This window comes from Homo sapiens, chromosome 14 (genome assembly GCF_000001405.40).
Source record: "Homo sapiens chromosome 14, GRCh38.p14 Primary Assembly".
Classification (NCBI taxonomy): Eukaryota; Metazoa; Chordata; class Mammalia; order Primates; family Hominidae; genus Homo; species Homo sapiens.
In genome coordinates this window covers 71,980,303-72,005,764 of record NC_000014.9, presented here as the reverse complement: position 1 = coordinate 72,005,764, position 25,462 = coordinate 71,980,303, and the positions used below count along the sequence as shown (strand labels likewise).

Genomic DNA, 25,462 nt, shown 5'->3' with positions numbered 1-25,462 from the left:
TTAAATAGGACAGCAGGAAGAAAGACATGGAGAAAGAAATGCTATCCAAAGGACCCTTCAAATGAAATAGATGCAAGAATGGATATAAAATAGGTCAGGCAAGTGCACTGAGATATTAAAAGCTTTTTTAAAACATTTCTCATTATAAGAGAGATATGATCTCATTATAAAAATCTGTAAAGTATAAATAAGCACAAGAAAGAAAATAAAAATCACCCGTGACCTCAAATTCTAGGGATAACTACTAATTGGATTATAGGCTGTTTCATTTTAGGTTGCTGAATGAATAGGGAGATATAGATAGATAGATAGATAGATAGATAGAGATATGCAGGTGTGTAATCTTGGAAATATGTAATTTTTGGAAATAGCTCTATGCTCTTTATGAATATAAAATTAACACATAATTAAATAACATGTAATACTTTCTAAGTATAAATATTATAAAGAGATATGAGTTAGACAATAAAATTCACCCATAATTCTTATACTCAGGGGGAAAAACACTGTTTACCATTAACATCTGATATTTTTCTCAAAGTCATTTTTCAATGCAAATGTTTTAATGCAAAAATAGGCTCACACTATTTTATTAATGGCTTCTCTCATTAGAAGTACATAGGTATGTACCAGAACTTATTTAACCAATATTTTATTAATGACCATTTGTGCTTCTCCTAATTGCCAGCAAGACCCAGGCAATTACAACTTATGCACACATTTTTACATACTCTTCTGTTATTTCCTCAGGATAAACTTCTAGAATTAGATTTGTTATGTCAAAAGGCATTCGCTTTTTATGAATTTTTATCTACATTGCATTGGTAGACACATGAATGGAGGCCAAATGGTCCACCATTCGTGTTACACCAATGGACATACCAAGAGGATCAGAATGCCTTCTTTTATGTTTGTTTTATTTATTTATTTATTTACTTTGAGACAGGGTCTTGCTCTGTCACCCAGGCTGGAGTGCAGTGGCATGATCTCAGCTCACTGCAAGCTCCACCTCCTGGGGGTCAAGTGATTCTCTCACCTCAGCCACCTGAGTAGCTGGGACCACAGGTGTATGCCACCATGCCTGGCTAATTTTTGTAGAGACAGGGTTTTACCATGTTGCCCAGGCTGGTCTTGAACTCCTGAGCTCAAGAAATCCACCCACCTTGGCCTCCCAAAATGTTGGGATTACAGGCATGAACCACTGTGCTGAGCTTGAGAGTGTCTTCTGCCACTACCTTCACCATTACTGAGCAATAGCAATTATTTTTCATCTTTGCTAATATAATAAGCAAAATATAGTTTTAACTTTCATTCTTTCAGTTGCTATTAAGACTATATTTTCAAATGTTAAAAAGCATTTGAATTTCTTCTTTATGAATTATGCATTCTTGTGTTCTATCAAATTCTGGAGGTGTTCACTGTTTTTGTTTTAATTTGTAAGTGCCCTCTCAGCCACCCAGGTGCACCATCCATTCATATTTTTTAAAGCCTAGTAGCAAAATCTTAACAGAACATAAATAAGAACTACAACGTCAGTAAATGGTTGAGCCAAGTTCAACTTTTTTTCAATCCAAAGTCCAGGCATTTCCCATGATGATGTATACTATGCTGACTCCCCTTCAAGACTGAAAGCAGCCATTCCCAATCTGTGTTGCCCATTCAAACCTCCTGGGGAGCTTTGGAAGCATTCCACTTGTCTCTTACCCCATACCAATTAAATCAGGCGTAGTATTTTTGAGGATGCAAAGGTGATTCCAGTGGAGAGCAAAGTTTGGCAAAGTATGGACTGAGCATTTCACCCCTCAGCTGCTGGCTCTTAGCTCTCAGCTGTCAACCTTCTCTGACCCTTGGCTGGAGAGAATTTGTCCAAGCTCATGCGCCGTCCTGGGAGCTGAACCCTATGACTGAATGATATGGTACAAAGATCCATCCCTGTTGCCCCAACTTGGGAAATGCCAGTTCCAGAGTTCCACTGGGTAGGGTGAGGCCTTCCAATGACAACACAGTACACGTTCTCCTTTTACCCAGTCCTCCCTCCATCCCTTCCCCCATCCCCTAGAAGTGTTGCTCCTGAGACTCTGGCAATGTCCCACATGCTACTATAAGAGGCTGCTTTCTGGAGGAACCTAACCTGTGTCACCTACTGTATGGAACTGCCCCTTAAAAAATAAACTTTCCCTGAAAAAAAACAGACTAAACAAAATCTTCCTTAAAGGTTTTATATACATCCAAAGCTAATAATCAAGGTATGTTTAAAAATTCTTTCACGGGGAGGTGTTGATTAATAAGTACACAGTTTCTGTTTGGGATGATGAAAAAGTTTTGGAAATAGGTAGCAGTGACAGTTGCACAAAACTGTGAGCATAATTAGTGCCACCGAACCGTACATTAAGAATGATTAAAGTGGCAAGTTGTATGTTGTGCATAGGGCCATGATTTTTACAAAGTAATAATATACCAACAACGTCGAATGGTAAATTTTGCATGGGTGGATTGTATAGTATGTGAATATCTTAATAAAGATGTTTTTAGGAATCCTTTCACTGCAGTGTGAGTACCTGGTGGCCAGTGGGTAAGTAAAATAGTAGCCGCAGCTCTACTAATCCATAGAACAATGACAATATTTTAAAGCCCTCATTGAGGGGTTCTCTTTCACTCATTGTCTCATTCTCCAAAATATAGAAACAAAATACTTATTGATTTGTACTTTATGTATCTTCAGTCAGCAGTAATTCAGGATTTATATGCTAAGTGATACAGGGAAAAGAATAAGCAGTTTCTTGGGCCAGTTCCCAGGGCTAAGAATATTTAAAGACTACTGAGAGCGAAGATATTGGCAATGTCACTGAATTCGATTTTGCAGTAGTACGAGTGTTCAGTGTAACTGAAGCATAAGCTCACACATACAGAAAACCACCATGACTCTAGATGATAGGCTCATTTCTACAGGAGGAACAAAACAAGCTTTTTTATAAAAACAAGCATGCACCAAAGGCAGAAGTGTCCAGAGGATAATGTATGCAAAAATCTGTCTCCCCAGAAACACACAGTCTACTGCCACACCTCCAGGATTTATAAAGTACTTCACATTTGCAGCCTCCTCCATAATCATTGTCATTAGCCATCCCCAAGGAGCCCAGGGGTTCCCATTTTTTTTTTGAAAAGTTGGCAAGACTCTTGCCTCAATGCATACCCTTCTTTAACAAGAGACTTCCATTCAATAAAGGCCAAACCTCAGATAAGAGTAACTATCATGTAAAGACTGTGGTTTCTGCTTCTGGGCCCTCTCCACAATCAACGTACTACCAGAAACCAACCTGATGTTATACAAACCTTAGACACTGAAATGCTTAAGGATTAAAGAAAACACTAATGTCTAAAATGCCACTCAAAGCAGAATAAATCTGCAGCTGGAAAATCTGACCTTTAGCCCTGAATCTGCCTCTAATAAGCTGTGTGATCTGGGGCTAGTTAGTAAGTCACTCTGAATCCCAATTTCTTTATCAGCATTTGGACTTCCTACTTGGGGTGCCTATCTCTCAATAGGCAGAAAGTGAGGTAGAATGAGATTAAGGATGCTGGGCACAGTGGCTCACGTCTGTAATCCCAGCACTTTTGGAGGCAAGGGTGGGTAGATTGTTTGAGACCAGCCTGGGTGACATGGCAAAACCCTGTCTCTACAAAAAATACAAAAATTAGCCAGGCATGGTGGTGCAGGCCTGTAGTGCCAGCTACTTGGGAGGCTGAGGAGGGAGGATCACTTGAGCCCAGGAGATAAAGGTTGCAGTGAGCTGAGATTGCACTGCTGAATTCCAGTCTGGGCAGCAGAGGGAAACCCTGTCTCAAAAAAAAAAAAAAAAAAAAAAAAAGATTAATGGATGTCTAAACACTTCAAAGACTAAAGTTCTGCACAAATGTGAAAGAGTACTTACAACACTTCTTATCTCTAAATATCTCCAGAGAAACGTAACTTAGGGCCCTTTAGGTGCAAAACAACTGTTTAAATATAGATGAGGAAGAGAATTCCACCAGGGGAAAAGTACTCATTCAAGTTATCTCTTCTAGCATCCATTTCAGAAACCATACAAGACTCAGATGATTGTATTATGGAAGCCACAAACCAAGGTGTAAAAGAAAATAAGAGAATATGTCTTTAATTTGGACTGATAACATCATTTCCATCTGAAACTCTAGAGTTAGTTTGGTGAGTTGTTTTATTGACTTTTGCTGTTGTTGCTGCGTTGTGTGTGTGTGTGTGTGTGTGTGTGTGTGTGTGTGTGTGTGTGTGTGTGTTCTGTTTTTATTTATCTTAGAAAGCATTGATATAAAATACTCAGTTCCTTTTGGGATTTGGGCATAACGTTTTTTCTAGAAAAGGCCCTAGAGAGAACTAAATTTTCACAGAATTGCATAGCAATTCTCCAGTGTTATTTTTAAAGAATTCTATGAGGTAGGAAAAATCATCAACACACTGATTTCATATTCCACAAATGTGTAACCTCTGAGATTTCAAAGTCAGGGACTCATTGTTTCCCACTGAATGAAGACTCAGACTGGGACGAATACATGTTCCCAATTTAGCAGGGCCACCGCGACTGCGAGCAGTTGCTTAACAACTGCACACACTTGTGCGTGACCTCCCAGGTTGCCAGGAGCGGCCCCACGACAGGGCCAAAAGTGGAGTCAGACACAAACAACTGACCAAAAACCGAATCCTGAAATCAAGAGAGAACGAAACTAAAGGGTGTTCCTCTTTCAACTTGCTTTTTCTTAAGAAAAGTCTTGGGGAGAAATCAGGATATATTCTCAGACCAAGTTCTTTGTGGTCTTCTGGCACTGAAGAATTAATCCACTTTAAAACAAGCCACAAATTTCAATCTCCCATTTTCTCTCCTCTTTTCTTTCAATATGAAACTCCTCAAGAGAAGAACACACACTAAACAGCTCTCTCAGGGTCGCCCATGACCTTGAGATGTGGTCACCAAATCCAGTGGTTTTTCGAGTATTTCTTGACCTTTCTGTGGCATGCAACATTCCTGGCTCTTTCTTTTTCTGGAAATAGCTCCCTAACTTGACTCCTCTGGTACAACATCCATCCTGCCACTCTCACTACCCTGCCTACTACATTTTCCTATCTCTTGTCCCTCTCCCAGTTCTGGAATACCTTTGTCTCCTGGGTTCTCCTTCCGGCATCCTCCACTGTACACACTCCCTCAGAGAGCTGAGCTCTTACTTGGCTCTCTATCCACCTGTATGGGATGACTCCCAACCAACCCCATCTTGAAGATGAAGCCAACATTTCCAATCGCCTACTCCATATTTCCGTTTCTGCCCCTCAGCACCTCATATCCAAGATGGGGCCCATTACTTTACCCACAAAACAAGCTCCCATTCCTCAAATTTCCCAAGTATTGTTATTCATTTCATCTCTTCCCATCAAAGCCATCCTTCTATTCCACCTACATTTACAAGTTGCCCTGTCCCATGAATGGCCCAAGACTCATGTCCACTTCTTCCTTTGCATCCTCATGTAAAGATATTACAACAACCGCCTGAGCGAATTCTTGCTGGCTGTATCTTCTGACTTACACAAAATTCTGTAGAACAAAACCAGATAATTCTTCCTGAGGTAATGTGTGTATCACAACCCTGCTCGAAGACTATCAGTGCTTCCCCTTTTCCAAGTTCGGATTCCTAATCCTACTATCTAAGGTTCTCCCTGATCCAGTCTTATCTCCACTAACACCATAGAAGGTCACAATGTTCAGATGAGTTTCCATTTCTAGCTGTTTTCCTAAACTTCTCTTGCAGTTTTTGACTCCATCAAAAATTCTCTATTAGTTCTCATACTGCTATAAAGAAATACCTCATACTGGGTAATTTATAAAAAAAAAAAAAGAGGTTTAATTGGCTCATGCACTGCAGGCTGTACAGGAAGCATGATGCTAGCATCTGCTCAGCTGCTGGGGAGGCCTCAGGAAGCTTACAATCATGGCGGAAGGTGAAGGGGGAGCTAGGCAATTCACATGTCCAGAGCACGAGAAAGAGAGAGGGGAAGTGCTACACACTTTTAAACAACCAGAGCTCATGAGAACTCTATTGCGGGGATAGCACCAAGGGGACGGTGCTAAACCATTCATGAAGGATCCACCCCCACCATCCAACCACCTCCCACCAGGCCCCACCTCCAACATTGAGGTTATGATTTGACACGAGATTTGAGCAGGAACACAGAGCCAAACCCTATCAGCTCTTTTGACTCCTCCCTTCTCCATCTCCACCTGTTAGAGTTATACCTTTCTTCAACATCTAGCTAAAACTACTTTCACCATCATACTTCTGATTTCTCCTGTCAAAAATGCCTTGTATGCAAAAGCATTCCGCACCATCCCGGGAGCATTTACCATGGTCTGCACCAACAAAGTACATATTTTATCTCCTCTTTTAGATCACAAGCCTTGTAAGAGGAGAGGCTGAGCATCAGGATTTCCTGGAGAACATGAACTTTGAAAACTAAATAACCAGGACTTATTTTCACTTCGACTGACGCTCTCCGGTTTTAATTCCCTCATCTGTAAAAAAGAACCTACGATAATTATTGAGAATTGATTTGCTTACCTCAGAGGTCAATAAACTGTGGCCTTTAGGCCCCATCACTCATTTTAATTTAATTAACTAACTTTATCATTATTATTTTTTAGAGATAGGGTCTCACACTCTGTTGCTCAGGCTGGAGAACTGTGGCACAATCAAGCTCACTCCTGCCTCAGCCTCCCAAAGTGCTGGGATTACAGACGTGAAACACTGTGCCAGGCCTGATTTTATAAATAAAGTTTTATTGGAACACAATATGCTCACTCATTTCTGTATGGTCTCTGGCTGCTTCCACACTTCAATGGCAAGGCTGCAGAGAGACCACATGGCTCACTAAGACTGAAACAGTTCTTAACTTGACCCTTACAAAATAAGACCCCTTCTCTAGCTCCATTTCACACTCCTTTTAGGAAGAGAGGTGGTATAAAGATATCTTCCAGACTTCTCTGCATCTAGAGATTCAGGACTGAAGTGGATTCCACTAATTAAATGTACTCAAGCAAGGAGTTCTAGAAGGTGGAAGTGAGATGAGGGCCATGCTTTGGCTTCTATTTGACTGTTCACTGCTATCAAGGCAGGTCACGAAAACAGATTTCTTAATACAGTAGTGTCCAGCATCCTTCCTTCAGCTCCATGAAGGCCGAGAAAGAGCTGCAGCCATGGTGGCTTTCCAGTCCCAGCTTTTCGATGCCAGGGTGGCAGCTACAGGGATGTACTCTGACCTTAGTTCTATATTGTTCTGGGAATCTTTCCCTGGGGCTGCCCTTCCAGAGATTTTGTAATGTGAAAGGAAAATATCTTGGGCCCCCAAAGTCACTAAGTGAAAGGGAAAAGTCAAGCTGGGAACTGCTTAGGGCAAGCCTGCCTCCCATTCTAGTCAAAGTCATCCCTCTGCTCACTCAGATAGATGCATATCTGATTGCCTCTTTTGGAAAGGCTAATCAGAAACTCAAAATAATGCAACTGTTTGTCTCTCACCTATCTATGACCTGGAAGCTCCCTCTCCGCTTTGAGTCTTCCTGCCTTTGCTTCCAGTCGTCCCACCTTTCCACACCGAACCAATGTACTTCTTACATACATTGATTGATGTCTCATGTCTCCCTAAACTGTATAAAACCAAGCTGCATTCCAACCAGCTTGAGCACGTCGTCAGGCCCTCCTGAGGCTGTGTCATGGGTGCACATCCTCAACCTTGGCAAAATACACTTTCTACATTAACTGAGACCTATCTCAGATTTTCTGGGTCCATAGTAAGCACCTATTCCCTCTAGGAAATCCCTTCTTTAAAATTTATAGCCAAGTTTTCATGTCTTGTACTGAACTCTAACTGATACAGAGCCAAATTATAAAGATCTAGTTGAGTTCCTGAGAGATAAAATGGCATTGTATGTAAAAGTGCTTTATGAACAGTAAAGCTATTGCTACCTGTAAGTCTTTATCTCATTCCCAGAACTCTGACCCCCAGGCCTCTGACTCAGCACAGTGCCTCCCACCCCCGAAATGTTGATATTTTCTGCAGCACAAACCCTGGCTCTCTTCCCTTCTTGCTGCCTGAAAAATCTCATCTCTCCTTCTGGCTTCATTAACCATATGCACCAAGGGTTAACCTTTTTGAGGACACAGACATTTTGAAAAGTTGATACAAAGCTAGCTCTTCAGAACAATGCACATGCATTATGATTTTAATATAATTTCTGAAGTTCATAGGCCTTCTTAATTTTATCTATGTCCTTCTAGGCTATGAAGCCCTGACCCTCTATGCCAATGAGTGTTCAAACCTGTATCTCAAATCTGATCACTCTCTGGAGGTGAAGCCTGCTGTATACAACTGCGCTCTGGACTTCCCACAGGCATCTCAAACTCACCATGCCCAAGTGTGAATTTAACCTTCTCACAGCTCCTCTTCTCATCTATCACAAGTAAGTGGTGCCCACATCCCCTGGAGGCCTGAGCATCATTCATACATCTCTCCTTCCTTCCCCACAGACACCTAATTGCCAGGTTCTGACAATTCTACATCCCTAGTTGCTTCTGAATCTAGTCACCTCTCCATCTCAGGTGTCAGTAATTTGTCCTGCCACCACCATCTCTCAAGATTGCTGCAATAGCCATCGAATGGCCTCTCCTCTTCCACCCTGTCCTCTCCAATCCATTTCCTGCACCTTGGATCATGCATATCAAACCTCATCATGTAAAAACTAAGAACTCTATGTTATTCTCACCATTCAGCTCTGCCCAGGCCCCCACCTTGAAATGGCTCCATGCCACCCACCATACAAGCTAACAGTTCCCAGAACTGCAGTCCTTGTCACCCTCAAGGAGCACATGCTCCTCCCTCCCTGTACCATCCTTCGTCATCATTTTACTTCCTCCCGCCACCCCCTTCCTCCCCTACCTCCCACACTTTCCTCCTGGCAGACTCCTCATCCTTCAGTTCTCAGCTTAGATGTCACTTAATTCCCTTACTCATCAAATGTTTATTGACCGTCTGTTATATGTCAACCACTGGGCTAGGACAAGACATAGAGCAATAAAAAGACAGTCACAGTCCCTGTCCTGAAAACGCCCAATTTTACTGGGACATTAGATCAATAATGACAAGTCTGATGATCCCCCAGTTGCCCCCAGTCCCAACCTCAGGCTGAGTCAGGGTCCTTCCTCTCTGGGATCCCATAAACAACACCGGTAATCCCCCAGCTCCACCCACTGTTTCTCATAGGGTCTCTCTCAATGACTAGATTGCACATCTCTTACAGGCAGGACTGTGTCTTACCTACCACTTTATTTATCACTTACATCTAGTAATGGATCTGATGCCACATGTCTGAATAATGCTCCATTTACTTAACAAATCTCTATTGATTAATAAAAATTCAGTCAACAAATATTAGCTAAATAAGTCATCAGCACTGCTTAGGAGTGGCCCAATAAGGGGAATACAGCTGGGGGAAACAATTGGTGTGGGGAGGTTTGTCTGGGCTTTGTCAGTGTCCCAAATCACAAAAAAAAAAAAACACACTTCTAACGAACACCCGACTTGCTGCCTGGATTTCATGTTAAGCTACTATTTCAGCAGCCCTTCTTGCCTGCAGGATATACACCTGCATGCTCAACAGTGTACCTAATTAGAGGGATCCCCCGGTGACTCGGAAGGCCTCGGGAGGCCAGTCACCAAGCTGTGCCCTTGGTCACTGGAACCGAAACAACACAGAAGGCAGAAAGCACAGGGGACTCGGCAGCCAGGAGAGGCCCAGGAGCTCCACCAAGTGAGATCCCGGGAGCTTTGTCCAAACTCCTTGGTAGGCCAGCCCTGAATCTATGTGTATAAACTATGGCCACATTTTCTGAATGTGTGTCAAGCTGGTGGGGGATGGAGAGTAGCAAAGTAAAACCAAGAAGTAAATATGCCGTGCGTCATGAAAAATAATAAAGCAGTTTAGATAAAGGGTGACAAGATTTTCTTGACTACATAAGAATATAAGGGAACATTTCAGGTGCACCTGCTACGTGTCAGGTTCCAATCTCCTGATGCGCATTAAATCATTTAATTCTCTCAACACCCCTATGAGGCGAGCACCATTATTATCTCCATTTACAGACTGGGAAACGGAAGCACAGGGAGATCAAGGAAACTTCCCATGGCTGCCCCCAGCCAGTAAGCGACACAGCAGGACATAAACCGGACAGCTTGACTCAGAGAATGATCTGAAGCTTTCCACTTATGTCCCTGTGAGGCAGAGGCAATCACTTCCACCCTGCCAGGGGCCAGGCTCCAATGCCCACAGGGTCTGGCATGCGATGTCAAACAGGACCCAGGACACATTCTCTATGTTCAGGGGCAGCCCATCCATCTGGCCAATTATAGCCATGCAGTAACAAAGGCCTGGTGTTGCCAGATCTTCCTTATTTTCCAGAAGAACATAGAATTCCAGATTTTTTTTTCAATTGGGGATGAGAAAAGGGAAGAATTCCAGAGGGACTGAGAGGGACATGGTAACCATAATTTAGATGGGCTTATGAGGGAAAAGGGGTTTGGAGAGGAAAGATGTTCAGTTTTGACATGCTGAGTTGCTGGTGCTGAAGATGCCCAGAAGGCTGTGAGAACTCAGGAGTACAGATAAGAGAGGCAGCTCTTTGGTGACTCTGTTATCAGGCCACCCCACCTCAGCCCCCAGTTCCACATAGGACAGGGTCATCTGAAACATCCCGTCTTGCTGGCTGTAAGGACGGTGAAAACCTCAGGCTTGTGGTACTTTCTTGGGGCCACAGCAACAAAGTACCACAAACTGAGTGGCTTCAACAAAAGAAATGTATCGTCCCACAGTTCCAGAGGCTGGAAGTCTGGGACCTAGGTGTTGGCAGGGCCATGCTCCCTCTGAAGGCTCTGGGGAAGGGTATGTTCAGGCCTCTCTTCTAGCTTCTGGTAGTTCCTTGGCTTCTGACAGCATCATTCCAATCTTTCCACAATGTTCTCGGTGGGTGCAAGCCCAAATTTCCAGTGTGACGGCCAAATTGGATTAGGAGTCCACCCTACTTTTGTATGACCTCATCTTTACTAATTACATCTGCAACAATCATATTTCAAAGTACGTTCAAAGACATGGGCGGATAGGATGTCAACATATGGACTGGGTGGAGGGGGACACAATTCATACATAACAAGACTCTAAACAGTGGTTTCATGTCTCTCAGAGTCAGAATCCCTAACAACAAGATTAAGGTATGTCGTCATTTACCTTTGGAAAAGCACTGTATTCGAGGAATCCTGCAAGTCCTACAGGGAGAAACTATCCTACAAATAAGAAGGTTATGATTGACTTGAGAGTAATATAAATAACCATAAGAATCAAAGAGGAGGAGAGAAACTGCTTTTGTCTGTAAAAATAAAAAATTCTTCGTTAGGTACTACTTAACCTTGGTATTGAGGGAGGCCCAGAATTCTAACAGCGGGAGACTGAGGCTGGAGAAATCAAAGACACCCCAAGTAGACGGAACAGGCTAAACAAAGGAAAGGAAAGGAAAGTACAAACTGTGTTTGGATCAGGTCTGTTTGCCCAGATAATTGGGTATGTATAATGCAGTCATGTGATAGAAGACTAAACTATAGTTTGGCATCAGTTTGCAGAACCCTGAATTGGCAGGATAAGGAGTTTGGATATAAATTTGTAGGCAACTAGATGTAACTTTGGTGGCCAATAAAAATGGTTCTTCTGTCCTAGAGGCTAAGATGCCTTCCAACTCTTCCTTTTCCCTATCAGAGACACTCTGCCAATTTGGTGGTCCTCAAGAGAAATTAGAATATATTGGGGCAGCTACCCCCTCGTGCTCTTCTAATCCAGTAAGCTTCAGAACTCTAATCTTCATAATAATACAAGTTATGAAAGTCTGGGTCAGATTCCCTGTGGCCCACTGATGCTAGTGTCATCTTAGACTCTAGATGACATCAAGATTTGCCATCCATGCTACCACTGTTGAATTCAGTATATACCCTAAAGGCTATAATAAACCTGTAAGACTCACGCAGTAGAAAATCAAGGTTAAGGTCAAGGTCAAACTCCACTACTTACCATCTGTATAAGCCAGAGCAAGCCACTTAACTCTTCTGTGTTAATTTCTTTATGTATAAAGTAAGGATAACAACAATATCTATGACATAAGATTATCACAAAGATCCGATGAAATAATATAAAATAAAGCATTGTGGCTAGAATACAGTAAGGGATCAATAGATAGTAACTATTCATTTCATTATTATTACTATTATTATAAAAGTATGGGTCTACCATCCATTAATTCATCTAGACTCCATGAATACATTGGAAAATGAATTCCATCTAAAAGCCACTCTCTAAAAAAAATATTTTGTCAAAGTGTGCGCTGTTCATGGCAGCTAAGATGTGTTGCCATGGCCACAGCAAAGCAATGGTTCCAATTAAAGAACACAAATTCTAGTACTTAAGAGATGGAAACTAAAGGGACAAGTTCCCCAACAGGAGTAAGTCCTCCCTTACCTTACAGTTTCTGGGAATTTTTTCAATTCCAGGAGTCTAATTAATGCTGCATTAAAACTAAATACTTTTCCATTTAATTATCTTCAATTGTAAAGACAACATCTCCTTAAAGTAAAAGGCTATGTTCATAACACGTCATGTAGCATCAACTTAAAAACCACAGAAGTCCCTTACATAAAAGGCTCCAACAAATTAATAGAGAAGACAAATGCTCTTATTGAACAATGGAGAAAGAACATGCATCAGACACTCACCTTAGAAGAAATATAGAGAGTATTCATAAGATAAAAAAAGATGAAGCTTGTTTTACCTATTAAAGTAGCAAAGCGTCAAAAGAGTCCTTGTTATAGACAAGGGTGTAGAAACACAGCCCTGCTATATACCACTCAAGAAATATAAGTTGGCCAAATATATCAACCTGACAACAAATATCAAAACCTTAAAATGCATGTGTTATTCTAATTCTAGGAATTTATCCAAGCAAATAATTACTAACGTGCGTAAAAACATAATGAGTAGTTAAGAGCATGGCTTCTAAAAATCAAACAAATTTAAATTTTGAGTTTTCTATTTACTAACCATCTAACCTTAGGCAAATTACCCACCTGTTCTTTATCCGAGTTCCCTCATCTGTTAAATAGAAAGAATAATACCTACACTACACAGGGCTGTGGGCAGGTGTAAGTCAGAATGCAAATAGAACAAACGAAGCAATGTTGCAAGCGCAGAGTAAGGCCTCAAACAACATTAGCTATTACTCTGACTGGTTAAGTAAATAATGATATATCAATAAGATAGAACACTATTTAGGCATTAAAAATGATATTCTAGTGGAGTGTGGGCTCACGCCTGTAATCCCAACACTTTGGGAGGCCAAGGTGGGAGGATCGTTTGAGGTCAGGAGTTCAAGACCAGCCTGGCCAACATGGCAAAACTCTGTCTATACTAAAACTACAAAAAAATTAGCCAAGCATGGCGGCGCAGGCCTATAGTCCCAGCTATTCAGGAGGCTAAGGCAGGAGAATCACTTGAACCCAGGAGGTGGAGGTTGCAGTGAGCCTAGATCATGCCACTGCACTCCAGCCTGGGTGACAGAGTAAGACTCTGTCTCACTCTGTCTCAAAAAAAAAAAAAAAAGATATTCTAGACAAGCATAGGCAAACTACAGCCCCACCCATGGGCCAAATCTGGCTCACTGCCTGTTTTCATAAAGTTTTATTAGAATACAGACATGTCCATTCATTTACACACTTTCTGTGAATGCTTCTGCACTTATAACAGCAGAGTTGATTAGCTGAAAGAGACAGTAAGTCCCACAAAGCCTAAAATAGTTACTATGTGGCCCTTTAAACAAAGTGATCCAATTGCTGGTCTAGAGGAATATTGACTGTCACAAGAAAATATTCTCAATCTATTATGTGAAAAGAAGCTTCCCAACAGCAAGTACAGTAAGTCTCTATTTCTGTTAAAATATGTACCTAGAAAAGAAGCATGGAAGTAGGTACTTCAAAAGTTAACCACAACTCTCTGAGCAGGGGGTTGTTACATGTTTTATTTATTTCTTTGGCTTATCTATAATTTCGGAATTTTTCTTTTACAATTAACATGAACCATTTCTGAAACAAGAAAAAAAATATAAAAGAAGAAACTAAGAAGGAAATAACCTGTTTTAATTGAGACACAGAGGGCAAATACCACATTTAATGGTAAAAACAGAACGGAAAGGTATTTTTCATTGGTGAGAGAAATATTGGTTTGTCTTCTTGTCTGTTTTTTTCTCATCCTCTCTCACAGATAGGAATGTGGAAGATGAGGAGAGAGGGAAGGAAGAAAACAAGGAAAGGAAGGTAACAGCAGAATTGTTACATGATGTGGACAGCCGCCAAACTCAATAGTTCTGAGATAAATAACTGTGCAAGGTTTAGAGGCAATACCCAATGTTTGAACCTCAGAGTTACACAATCCACCCAATACAGGGATAAGCTATGTGGCAGAGAATCTCATCTGAGAAAGATAAAGGATATGTCTCAGGAACGCTTAATCAACAGGTTTGTCCTTCACATTTATTTATCACCTACTTGGTGCCAAGCATTTACAATATCCTAGGGAGACAAACAGAAAATGTTATCTTTTTTTACATGGCATTGGATTCACATGGCATGTCATTTTCATATTGCGTAGAGTGGTGAGTGATTAGGCCTGTCAAAGAGAATCAGGTTCAGGTTCTGCCTCCGATGCCAACTATGTGGAGGATGCTACACCAAGCACTGAAGCTCAGAAGGAGAACAGTTTTGGCAGGGCAAGAAATAAGCTATGTTCTACCTGTTATGTTTGTGGTAAGTGAGGAAGATTCAAACAGAGATGTCTTTTTGGTAGCTGGATATAGGCATTTGGAGTTTGGAGAGAGGATAGCAATTTGGGGATCCTCAATGCAGCATGTAGAGAGGAGGAGATGGCCCCTGGACAGCATACAGAAAAGAATGGGCCAAAGTTTCACGGGGTGGGCAGAAGAAGCTGCCCCGGGAATGAAGACGAAGAAGGAATATGCAGAGATTGGGGTAAAACCAAGACAGAATGCTTGTGAAATGTGCCCAGGAATGATCCTCTCCACTACTTAAAATTTGCTTAAAATGAGCTGTTTCAGTACATCCCTGTGCAGCTGTGAGCAGCTGTCCTGGTTAATAACATATTCCCATGTCCCAAAGGACACAAACCTTGGAAGATGTGTTTCCCAATAACTTTTCAACCTTTTACTGAGCAGAACACATGAATTTTGCCCTTCCTCATTTGGAACCATGTGGAAAGGGGAACCACGAATGGGGATCTGCTTTTGGTTTGGATTGGGGCTTGCTATGGTTTGGATAATGGGATTTTTTGTCCCCATCAAATCTCATGTTGAAATTTGCTCCCCACTGTGGTGGTGTCAGAAGGTGGGGCCTAGGGGAAGGTGTTTGAGTTATAGGCGTAGAACCCTCATGAATGACTTCGTGCTGGGCTGCTGTTCTCACTCTGGCGAGATGGGATTAGGTTGGTTTATTATTATGTAAAGCCAGGATGCCCTTTGGGTATGGTGTCTCTTCACACGTACTCACTTCTCCTTTGACCTTCTCTGACATGTTGATGCCGGTGCCATGCTTCTTGTACACCTGCAGAACTGTGAGCTAAATAACCCTCTTTTCTTTATAAATCCTCTTTTCTTTATACCCAGTGTCTGGTACTCCTTTACAGCAACACAAAATGGACTAAGACAGGACTGAAACTCAAGCAATGGATGTGGTAATAGGAAAGAGAAAGGTACAGTGCATTCAGCAGAGTCACAGTTGTAAAGTAATGCCAACAAAAAAAACCATCTACAACGTGAAATTCGTCTCTGGAGGTCAGTTGATGACCTGAGGTTCACTGAGGATAAACTAAAAACCATACGGCTTAGAGTCTATCACAGCCTCTGCTAAGGTAAGTGTGAGTGACGCAGCTCTATTCCCAAAGACCTGGCCCATGGGAAGTAGTGTACAGGCACCAGACCCCAGGTCAAGAGGTCTGGCTCTGCCACTAAAAGCTGGTTGAGCCTAGAAAGGCCTCTTTACCCCTGAGCTTCAGTTTCCTCATTTACAAAGCAGAAATAGATATGTCTGCCTTATGTTTTTCACAGGCCTTTTACAAATATAACATGCAGGATGCAGAGTGCTAGAAGAAATTATAAAAATGGAAGTCGATATTATCACCGAACACCATAACTCAGTGATTAGAGTATCTTGCCTATGAGGTTGTGATAGCCCTGGCATCCCAGAGGAAAGATCAGAAGTAAGCAGCTCCCCAGGTGGTTGTCTTGTTCCTTCCAGGTCTTGTGAAAGAGCATGGTCTGTGAAGAAGAGACAGCCTGACCTGCAACTCGGGATTCCCACTTACAGGGGAGGCCCAGGCATGGGTTTACCCAGTGTAAGCTCCTTTCTTCATATGCGGCATGGGAATAACAATGATTTTACAGCAGTGCTCTCAGTGTGAGCAATTCACGTGCCCAAAGCACTGGCCCAATGCCTGGCACAAAGTGGGTCCTGCAGAAATTGACAGCCATTTGGACATTGCATCTGAGATGGAGGTAGCCAGCCAGCAAGTGGAATATCCTAGTGGGATATTTCAGAACAGCCAGCTCAACACTTCCAGCAGCTCAATATGCCTGTTTTTTATTTTAAAAAAACAAACAAAAATCTCATCAATAATGTACTGGCATAAATTATGTGACCCCTCAGGAAAGGAAACATATTATTTGAGGGGTGAATGGCAGGTCTTGTATATTTTTTGTAGTACAGGAATGTGCACTTGTTTCTAATTTATCTTGTATACCCCCTCCCCAGTTAGACCCTCCATGGGTTCCTGGAAATAAATCAGCACCACATGGAATCACTGGGTCTTGGTTCCTATGGAAATATTGTCCCAACAAGGACATTTGCCGATGCTTTTTCAGTCTCTTTCAAATCTCCGAAAACAGAAGCTGCAAACTTCTCTGTAAAAAGCCAGTTAGTAAATATTTTAGGCTTCACCGGTCATACGGACAGTCTCTGTCACAACCACTCAACTCCTCCGTGGTAGCTCAAAAAAAAAAGCCATAGATAATTCATAAACAAATGATGTGGCTGTGTTTCAATAAAACTTGATATACAGATACTGAAATTTGAATTTCACATAATGTTCACATGTCACAAAATATGGCTTCTCTTTTAAAGTTTTTCAACCATTGCAAAATGTAGAAACCATCCTGAGGCTCAAGGGATCAAAGGCATGGGGACAGATTAGGCCCAACAGCAAGTTGCTTGCTGACAACTGTCCTAAAGTTGTAACATGTCATCAGCCATAGGAGACTTTTGTTTCAACTACTGACCCCTCCTTCCCAGCAACGCAATGAAGTTAATGACAGTAATAACTCCCTTCAGAAAGAAAATGCTCACCCCCTGCTCGCTCACTGATAGTTAGACTTTATCATCTGTTTCCTTGACTAGCTCCTCGAAGGGCTCATCTACCTTGAGTCACATTAGCGCCCAGGGTCAGACTCTTCCCTGGCAGATTGGCCACCAACACTATCACTTGTGTGCCTTTTGTCAGCCACTATATGTCACAAATCCTGACCAGAACATGGAAAATGACGGAAAGAGAGGCCTTGGCAGAGTCAACAAGCAGATTGGCACATGTCTCTCAAGCTAAGGGAAGTGCGATATGCCAGCACTTTCTCTCATTGTTTGAAAAAAGCACATAAAGTCTTCTACTATGCCAGATGGACAGTCATGAGAAGGTTATTTATTCACTGTATTGTTTAGTATCATAATTAATATTTTTTTAAAATATAGTTCAAGCATGGTGGCTCACATCTGTAATCTCAGCATGTTGGGAGGCTGAGGAGGGAGGATATACTTGAGCCCAGGAGTTCAAGCCCAGCCTGGGCAGCACAGTGAGACCCTGTCTCTACAAAAAAGTTTAAAAATTAGCCAGGTGTGGTGGTGCATGCCTGTAGTCCCAGCTATGGGAAGGCTGAGACGGGAGGATCAAGCCCCAGAGGTCAAGGCTGAGTGAGCCAAGATCACACCATTACACTCCAGCCTGGGGAACAGAGTGAGACTCTCTCTGAAAAAATAAAAAATAAATAAAATAATTAGAGACAAATAGTCCTATAAGGAAGCCACACTGGATGGGACTACAGTAAATGAGGTCTTCCTTTTATTCATTTTGAATGTATCTGCTTGGTCACTTCTCCTCGATGGCATGGGCTTGTTTGTGGGGCCTAACAGGAGCACCCAGTGAGCAGGTTGTGAAGGTCTTTAAGCCACCCTCCCATCCTCACTGCCAGTCTCTGAAACTCTCCTCTTTTCTGCCCTCCAATGAACTTCAGCCAATACAAACAGACATCCCAGACTTAGTTTAGATTGCCACATATCAACCATCACAAATACAGGAAGGAAAAACAAAACTTCAGCGTACCTCCTCCCTAGCTATGAAAAAGACAAAAATTCCAAAATTATTTTCCTTTCCTTTTCTAAGACAGTGTGATAAGTAGAATAACGGCCCTCCAAAGATGTCCACACCCTAATCCCACAAACCTATAAATATGTTATTTGACTTGGCAAAAGAGACTCTGCAGGTGGGACTAAGTTAAGGACTCTGAGATGGGGAGGTACCCCTGGATTATGTGTGTGGGCTCCATGTAATCACCGGGGGTCCTATAAGAGAGAGAAAGGAAGGTCAGAGTTGGAGAAGGAGATATGATGCCAAGAGTAGAGGTGGGACTGATGTGGGGCTATGACTTAGGGAATGTAGGCAGCCTCTAGAAGCTGGAAAAGGGGAGGAAATGAATTCTCCTAGAGCCCCCTGAGGGCATGCAGCTCTGCCAAATCATTTTTCACTCCTGATTTCTAGAATTATAAGAAAATGCATTTGTGGGGTTTCTTGGTTTTTTGTTTTTTGAGACAGGGTCTCACTCTGTCACCCAGGTTGCAATGCGGTGGCACGATCATGGCTCACTGCAGCCTTGAGCTCCCCAGGCTCAGGTGATCCTCCCACTTCAGCCTCCTGAGTAGTTGGGATTACAGGTGCACGCCACCACACCCAGACAACTTTTGTATTTTTTTTTTTTTAAATAGAGATGGGGTCTCATCATGTTGGCCAGGCTGGTCTTGAACTCCTGAGCTCAAGCAATCCCATCTCAGCCTCCCAAAGTGCTGGAATTACAGGCATGCACCACTGTGCCTGGCCTTGTTTTAAGCCATTACATTTGTGGCAATTTGTTATGGCAGCAATAGGAAACTAATCCAGGCAGCTGCTGAAAACGTTACAGACAAAGAGAAAGTATAGTTTCTAATAAGTTAGCCACTGAATCTCATTACATCTAAGCCTGAAGAATGAAAGGAAAGGTCTACTCCTTTCATGCAGGGTCCCTAAACTCCAAAACTATTGAACATTTAAATAAAGTGAGGCACAAAATGGAAGGTTGAAAGGGGTGAGTGGGCAGTTCGAGAACACTGTAGTCATATACAAAAAGCATTACCCAAGAGGACTGCAAAGGATGAGATAGAAATGGAATGTGACTTATTTATAGCAAAGCCTGCCTCCCCTCTCAAGTGTGTGACAGAAGAGCTGTTTTAAAGTTTTATTCTTCAAACTTGGCTGCAGAACTTGGCTGCTTCTCAGAACTGTGCTTTTGTATTTAGCTTTAAAATATAAGAAGCAACCCCATGGTTAAACTGTAGGCAGAGGTGGTGCAGGCAGGAAAAAATGCTGTGGGGAGTAGAAAGAGGTTGAAATGTTATTCTTATTTAGTTAGTTGCTTAAGAAAAACAAATAGAGAATAAAATAGCAAATGTCTTGGAAGGGTTCCAAGTCGAAAATTTCTGAATATCCCCAGGCATCAACAAAGCTCTCAGGATAAGGATGGTGTTGCAAAGCCAAGCAGACACTAGGATGGGGATGCGGTTTAGAGGTGAAGAAAACACTGGCCCTAATTGTTAGAAATCCCCTCACCCTCTTTCTGTAGTTCAATGACATAGAACTTTTACAACAACCCAGAGAAGCCCAGTCTATATATGCCAAAATCAATATTGACCTTCCAGAAAACCATATATATAATAGGAGTTGTAACACAGGTCATGCATTTTGACCTAGGAATTTTTTAATTTGCTATTAATAACAAACCCTAAATAAGTAAATCATGGTACATTATCTACTTAGAATATTATTCAACCTTTAAAACTATGATAGCCAGGTGCGGTGGCTCACAGCTGTAATCCCCGCACTCTGGGAGGCCAAGGTGGGCGGATCATGAGGTCAAGAGATCGAGACCATTCTGGCCAACATAGTGAGACCCCGTCTCTACTAAAAATACAAAAATTAGCTGGGCATGGTGGCACATGCCTGTAGTCCCAGCTACTCGGGAGGCTGAGGCAGGAGAATCACTTGAACTTAGGAGGCGGCGGTTGCAGTGAGCCGAGATCACACCACTGCACTCCAGCCTGGTGACAGAACGAGACTCCATCTCAAAATTAAAAATAATAAAAATAAATAAAACTATGATAATGATGACATATTATGGCACAGATTAGTGCTTAGGTTATGGTAGAAAAGCACAAAATAGCACATACACTATGATTACTCTCTAGGTTAATGTGTTATGTATACTACTGATACATATTCAAGGACTGGGAGGAAGAGACCAAAATGTTAACTTTAGTCATATTTGCATGATAGGAATATGTGAGATTTTTTCTCTACTTTATATTTTGATTCTTTCTAAATTGAATTATTACTTTTTAAATGGAAAGCGATTATTTCTGAAGAGGAATGGAAAAAAAATTCATTGGCAGAAGGCTCAGCTTTACCAATACCTTACCATGTGAGACACAGAGCTAAAAATGTTTGTTTTCTTACTTCAAGGTCTCCATATGAAGAATGAGGCTATAATTATATAAAGCACGTATCTTATATATAGTGTTATAAAATATATTTTCTCCTAAATACATCTGATATATTCTATCCCCTTGCCTTGGTTCACGTAGCTCCCATCACCTGGAATCAGTTTTTGGCTCTTTTCCACCAGCCAACTCCTACCCTTTCTTAAAAACACAGTTCAGATGATTTCTCTTCAAATTTCTTCTTCCTCAATAAGCCTTCCTTGTCCACACCAACTTTTTTTTTTTCTTTTTGAGACAGGGTCTCACTATATTGCACGGGCTGGTCTCAAACTCCTGGGCTCAAGGGATCCTCCCATCTCAGCCTCCTCAGTAGCTAGGACTACAGATGCAAGCCACCACACCCAGCTCTCACACTAACTCTCTTATGGTTAATTTCTAACAGCTTTGTTTTTTTTTTTTTTTTTTTTTTTTAACATAATTCAGTTTCTTCCCCAAAACCACAGGCTTTAGAATACAACAAATCTAGATTCAAATTCTGATAGCACCACTTAATACTAGTTATTTACTCCTTCTGACCCTCAGTTCCCTTATCTGTAATATAGGGTGAATACCACTTACCTAGCAAGCTATTCTGATGATTAAATGGCTCAATATATGTATAGCCCCCACTGCAGTATCTGGTAAATGGTAGGTGGCCAACCAAAGCTTATTTTCCTCCTGAGTTCTGCATCACTCTTGGTCTCCCCAGTTGGACAGTAAAGTTGTCTAGGACAGAGACTGTGTGCCACGCTACTTTTTATTCCCCACACAGTGCTTTGTCAGAAGCAACAGCTCAATAAGTACACTACTTGTTCATTTGATCTTTGCAGAGAGCACTAAGCTTCACGCGGTGATAAACTAGAAATTGTTGTGGATTGAGTTGTGTCTGTCAAAAAGATATTTTGTAGTCCTAAACCCTGGGACTTGCGTATGTAAGTTCATTTGGAAATTAGGGTCTTTGAGATGTAATTCATTAAGATGAGGTCACAATCAATTGGGGGTATGGGGATGTAGGCCTAAATCCCACAACTAGTGTCCTTATAAGGCCATGTGAAACACAGAGGTAGGCACATGAGGAAGGTGAGGTAGGACAAAGGCGAAGACCAGGGTGATGCTGCTGCAAGCCAAGGAACACCAAGGATCTCCAGCAGCCACAGAAAGCCTGGAAGAGGCAAGAAAGGGGACTTCCCTAAGCCTTCAAATGGAGCGTAGCCCTGCCCAGTCCTTGATTTCAGATTTCTATCCTCCTGAACTGTGACAGAATATATTCCTGTTGTCTTAAGCCATAGTTTGTGGGACTTTGTTACAGCACCTTAGCAAACTAATACAGAAATGTTCAAAAGTGTCATACTGACAGATACAAGTTACTTCCTGTTTTCTAAACCAAAAAGGTCTCTGGAGTCAGGTAAGGTTTCCTCCAGGTAAAGCTTCTTTTCAGGTCCATTTCATACGTAGAGGTATTTGCCTGGATTTATTCCCTCTGTCCAGAGTTTTACATAACTAGGCTGTGGTGAATGTCATTCTGTTACTGTGGTGACTTGAGGCTCCAGTGTCACTAACCCAACCACTTATCCTAGTGACTGGACATCCAGATGCCCAGTCCAGATCCTGGCCATTAGCCCTGAATCCTCCTCTCTCATCTCCATCTAAAACTAATAACGGGTTAATTCCACTTTTTAAATATACTGGAAGTTTCACTTTTCTTCACCTCTACCACCATCACGCTAGACCACTAAGACACTCAGGATATGTCTTTTCTAAAACATTTTAAGAGCAAACCAAGGCTATAAAAGATGGATCCACCTTCTCTCAAGGCCAATGTTCTGGGGTTCTACTTCTGACAATGGCTAACTAGATGTTTCAGAAACACCCTCCTGATGAGAGCAACTGGAAATGCTGAAAAACATTTTGTTAAACATGTTTGAGGGCACTGAAAAGCAACCAAGACAGTAAGAGTTTGTGAGGCCATGACCTGAAAGAAGAAAACTAAGAAGATGAGCCCAGCAATTGGAGCTGCTTGTTCTTCTCAAGAGCATTGTCAATTTCTTAAACAAAAGGCATGATCAAGAAGCTGAACAGAGCTTTTGGCAGTGTCATAGAGTTTAAAGGACAAAAATTAGAGGTCAGAGTCCTCCAAGGAGGAGGGGCACCCAGGGTTTTGGTTGGAACCAGAAGGGCTCCCTACAGAGAGTAAAGGAGATCTAGAAATATATCTAGCCCTAAGAAGAACTGAAGTCCAGCTACAAGTAATCTTTGTGTCTGACTTGATTAAGGTAATCCATTCCTATTTTGACTGACATAAAAGAAAAAAATAGTTAAGTTCTCTCAGAAGTAACGTAACATTGTCCTAGAGCCGTAAATGATGTCTTCTATATTATTTGTATAATGCCCAGAACTTAATAAAAAATAAACAGAAGGAGGGAGGAGCCAAGATGGCCAAATAGGAACAGCTCCAGTCTACAGCTCCCAGCCTGAGCGACGCAGAAGACGGGTGATTTCTGCATTTCCATCTGAGGTACCGGGTTCATCTCACTAGGGAGTGCCAGACACTGGGCGCAGGTCAGTGGGTGCACGCACCATGCGCCAGCCGAAGCAGGGCGAGGCGTTGCCTCACTCGGGAAGCGCAAGGGGTCAGGGAGTTCCCTTTCCTAGTCAAAGAAAGGGGTGACGGAGGGCACCTGGAAAATCGGGTCACTCCCACCCGAATACTGCGCTTTTCCGACGGGCTTAAAAAACGGCGCACCACGAGATTATATCCCACACCTGGCTCGGAGGGTCCTACGCCCACGGAGTCTCGCTGATGGCTAGCACAGCAGTCTGAGATCAAACTGCAAGGCGGCAACGAGGCTGGGGGAGGGGTGCCCACCATTGCCCAGGCTTGCTTAGGTAAACAAAGCAGCCGGGAAGCTCGAACTGGGTGGAGCCCACCACAGCTCAAGGAGGCCTGCCTGCCTCTGTAGGCTCCACCTCTGGGGGCAGGGCACAGACAAACAAAAAGACAGCAGTAACCTCTGCAGACTTAAATGTCCCTGTCTGACAGCTTTGAAGAGAGCAGTGGTTCTCCCAGCACGCAGCTGGAGATCTGAGAACGGGCAGACTGCCTCCTCAAGTAGGTCCCTGACCCCTGACCCCCGAGCAGCCTAACTGGGAGGCACCCCCGAGCGGCCTAACTGGGAGGCACCCCCCAGCAGGGGCACACTGACACCTCACACGGCCGGGTATTCCAACAGACCTGCAGCTGAGGGTCCTGTCTGTTAGAAGGAAAACTAACAAACAGAAAGGACACCCACACCAAAAACATCTGTACATCACCATCATCAAACACCAAAAGCAGATAAAACCACAAAGATGGGGAAAAAACAGAATAGAAAAACGGGAAACTCTAAAAAGCAGAGCGCCTCTCCTCCTCCAAAGGGAAGCAGTTCCTCACCAGCAACGGAACAAAGCTGGACGGAGAATGACTTTGATGAGCTGAGAGAAGAAGGCTTCAGACGATCAAATTACTCTGAGCTACGGGAGGACATTCAAACCAAAGGCAAAGAAGTTGAAAACTTTGAAAAAAATTTAGAAGAATGTATAACTAGAATAATCAATACAGAGAAGTGCTTAAAGGAGCTGATGGAGCTGAAAACCAAGGCTCGACAACTATGTGAAGAATGCAGAAGCCTCAGGAGCCGATGCGATCAACTGGAAGAAAGGGTATCAGCAATGGAAGATGAAATGAATGAAATGAAGTGAGAAGGGAAGTTTAGAGAAAAAAGAATAAAAAGAAATGAGCAAAGCCTCCAAGAAATATGGGACTATGTGAAAAGACCAAATCTACGTCTGATTGGTGTACCTGAAAGTGATGGGGAGAATGGAACCAAGTTGGAAAACACTCTGCAGGATATTATCCAGGAGAACTTCCCCAATCTAGCAAGGCAGGCCAACTTTCAGATTCAGGAAATACAGAGAACGCCACAAAGATACTCCTCGAGAAGAGCAACTCCAAGACACATAATTGTCAGATTCACCAAAGTTGAAATGAAGGAAAAAATGTTAAGGGCAGCCAGAGAGAAAGGTCGGGTTACCCTCAAAGGGAAGCCCATCAGACTAACACCGGATCTCTCAGCAGAAACCCTACAAGCCAGAAGAGAGTGGGGGCCAATATTCAACATTCTTAAAGAAAAGAATTTTCAATCCAGAATTTCATATCCAGCCAAACTAAGCTTCATAAGTGAAGGAGAAATAAAATACTTTACAGACAAGCAAATGCTGAGAGATTTTGTCACCACCAGGCCTGCCCTAAAAGAGCTCCTGAAGGAAGTGCTAAACATGGAAAAGAACAACCGGTACCAGCCGCTGCAAAATCATACCAAAATGTAAAGACCATCGAGACTAGGAAGAAACTGCATCAACTAACGAGCAAAATCACCAGCTAACATCATA

General features: G+C 42.4%; 1 protein-coding gene across 51 annotated transcripts in view, besides 1 other annotated feature; it reads right to left on the bottom strand.

The window, feature by feature from the left end:
• RGS6 (regulator of G protein signaling 6) overlaps positions 1-25,462 on the bottom strand; it is a 762,695-nt gene that overhangs the window by 624,265 nt on the left and 112,968 nt on the right. The gene's annotated exons all lie outside the window — the stretch shown is intronic.
• Positions 23,666-24,279: an enhancer, noted in NCBI's record as "NANOG-H3K27ac-H3K4me1 hESC enhancer chr14:72448203-72448816 (GRCh37/hg19 assembly coordinates)". NCBI's record gives its function as "activates a minimal SCP1, AML or CMV promoter by ChIP-STARR-seq in naive H9 embryonic stem cells {active_cell/tissue: H9 hESC(naive)}" and the evidence as "EXISTENCE:reporter gene assay evidence [ECO:0000049][PMID:30033119]".